Below are 1,546 nucleotides of genomic sequence, written 5' to 3' on the forward strand. Positions count from 1 at the left end.
TATTGAAATTGGGATGGGCACCAGATCCAAGGACAGATACATCCATAGATTAGCTAGGCAGCAAGGCTGTGTCATGAATCTCATCTTCCTTGACCACAGAAGGAAAGGCAAGAAGTAACCACTCAATCCAAAGCCAGGTCAATCAGACACCCTTACCACAAACATTCTATTTCATCTTGTCCTTGATAACACAATCTGATGTTTGTACAAGAATCAATTGTTTAGGAAAGTTGACTCTATTCCCCTGATCACATTTAAAACATGATTAGTCTAAGTCAAACATAGTAGTCTCATTCCCCTTGTCAGCATTTGGCTTAGTCATAGCATGTGTCATAATTCCGGTTAATGAAATGTGAGGTTGATGTGGGAAAGTCTCCGGGTGAACTTCTGGAAAAGGTTTCTTCATTCTTAAAAAGAAAACTTAGTAAGAGCAGTGCCTTCTTACACACGATGTTGCTATGTCTGGCTAAGATGGCTTAGATAGGATACAGTAATGATCATGAGGAGGAGTTAGCCCTAGAACAAAGCCACCACGCTGAGCATAGCAGATCAGATTCACGTATAGAACCTAGATCCTTGGGTCATCAATGGGATTTGCAGGGATGATATAAAGATTAACTGGCCCAGAAAGGCCCTATTTCAGGACTTTATGTTATTAGATAACAGACTTTCCTTATTGTTTAAGCCAATTGAATCAGGGTTTTCTGTTATTTGTAACTAACAACACAGTAACAAATACAGCAAATTTAGACACAGACCAACTACCTATGTTGCTGTCACATGCAGACATGCAGAAGGATAATCTAACTTTTAATTCTTTTTTCTTTTTCAGAAATTAGAATTTGAAACAACGGAAAGAGAGAAATTTTAGGTTAGTAGCTAAATCCCCAAGGATACTAATTAGAGAAAGATGTTGGAATTGCCTTAATGAGTCACTGCCAACGCAAGTCCTAAGGAAGCAAAGACTGTGAGTAAGCAAAGGTAGCCAGCTGCTGGGAAGAGGACAATAGAGGAAAAGGTCAGAGGGACTTTAAAAGACTGACTGTGGGCTCCCTGAGGGAAGGAGGGATGGAGAGAGTATCGGGTCCTATAGAATACCTTAATTGTTTTTATGACTTCTCTTTTCCATATCCAGTTCACATGTACTCCTTTCTGTGCATTAAATTGAGTTTCTATTGGCTTCTTTGTAACAAAAAGAACTGAACAGAAACACATATCTATTGGACAAAGAGCAATAAAATGATATAATAACTGTATCTGAGGGTTTTTTCATTTTAAAGAATAAAACAAAACAAAAATCAAACAAAAAAAACCATCTATCTGATGTTGCTCCACTCCCAACAGCATCACTAACCGGTATGTACCCAGCTTCAGCTAAATATCCCTAAAACACCTCTTACTTTCCAAGGCAAAGTCTCCCACTGTTGAGTCGTGTTGACTGATAAAAAGTTCCCTCTGGGGTAAAAAAATGAAATTAGTTTTACCTATCCTGGGGTCACCTCCAAATACATATGCCTGTAATGTATTTCAATTAGAATACATTACA

The 1,546-nt window shown here is 38.2% G+C and overlaps 1 annotated feature.

The window, feature by feature from the left end:
* Positions 1 to 1,200: an enhancer, noted in NCBI's record as "P300/CBP strongly-dependent group 1 enhancer chr9:118453216-118454415 (GRCh37/hg19 assembly coordinates)". NCBI's record gives its function as "activates an origin of replication core promoter dependent on BRD2, BRD4, P300/CBP, MED14 and CDK7 cofactors, with strong dependence on P300/CBP, by STARR-seq in HCT116 cells {active_cell/tissue: HCT116}" and the evidence as "EXISTENCE:reporter gene assay evidence [ECO:0000049][PMID:35650434]".

This window comes from Homo sapiens, chromosome 9 (genome assembly GCF_000001405.40).
Source record: "Homo sapiens chromosome 9, GRCh38.p14 Primary Assembly".
Lineage (NCBI taxonomy): Eukaryota > Metazoa > Chordata > Mammalia > Primates > Hominidae > Homo > Homo sapiens.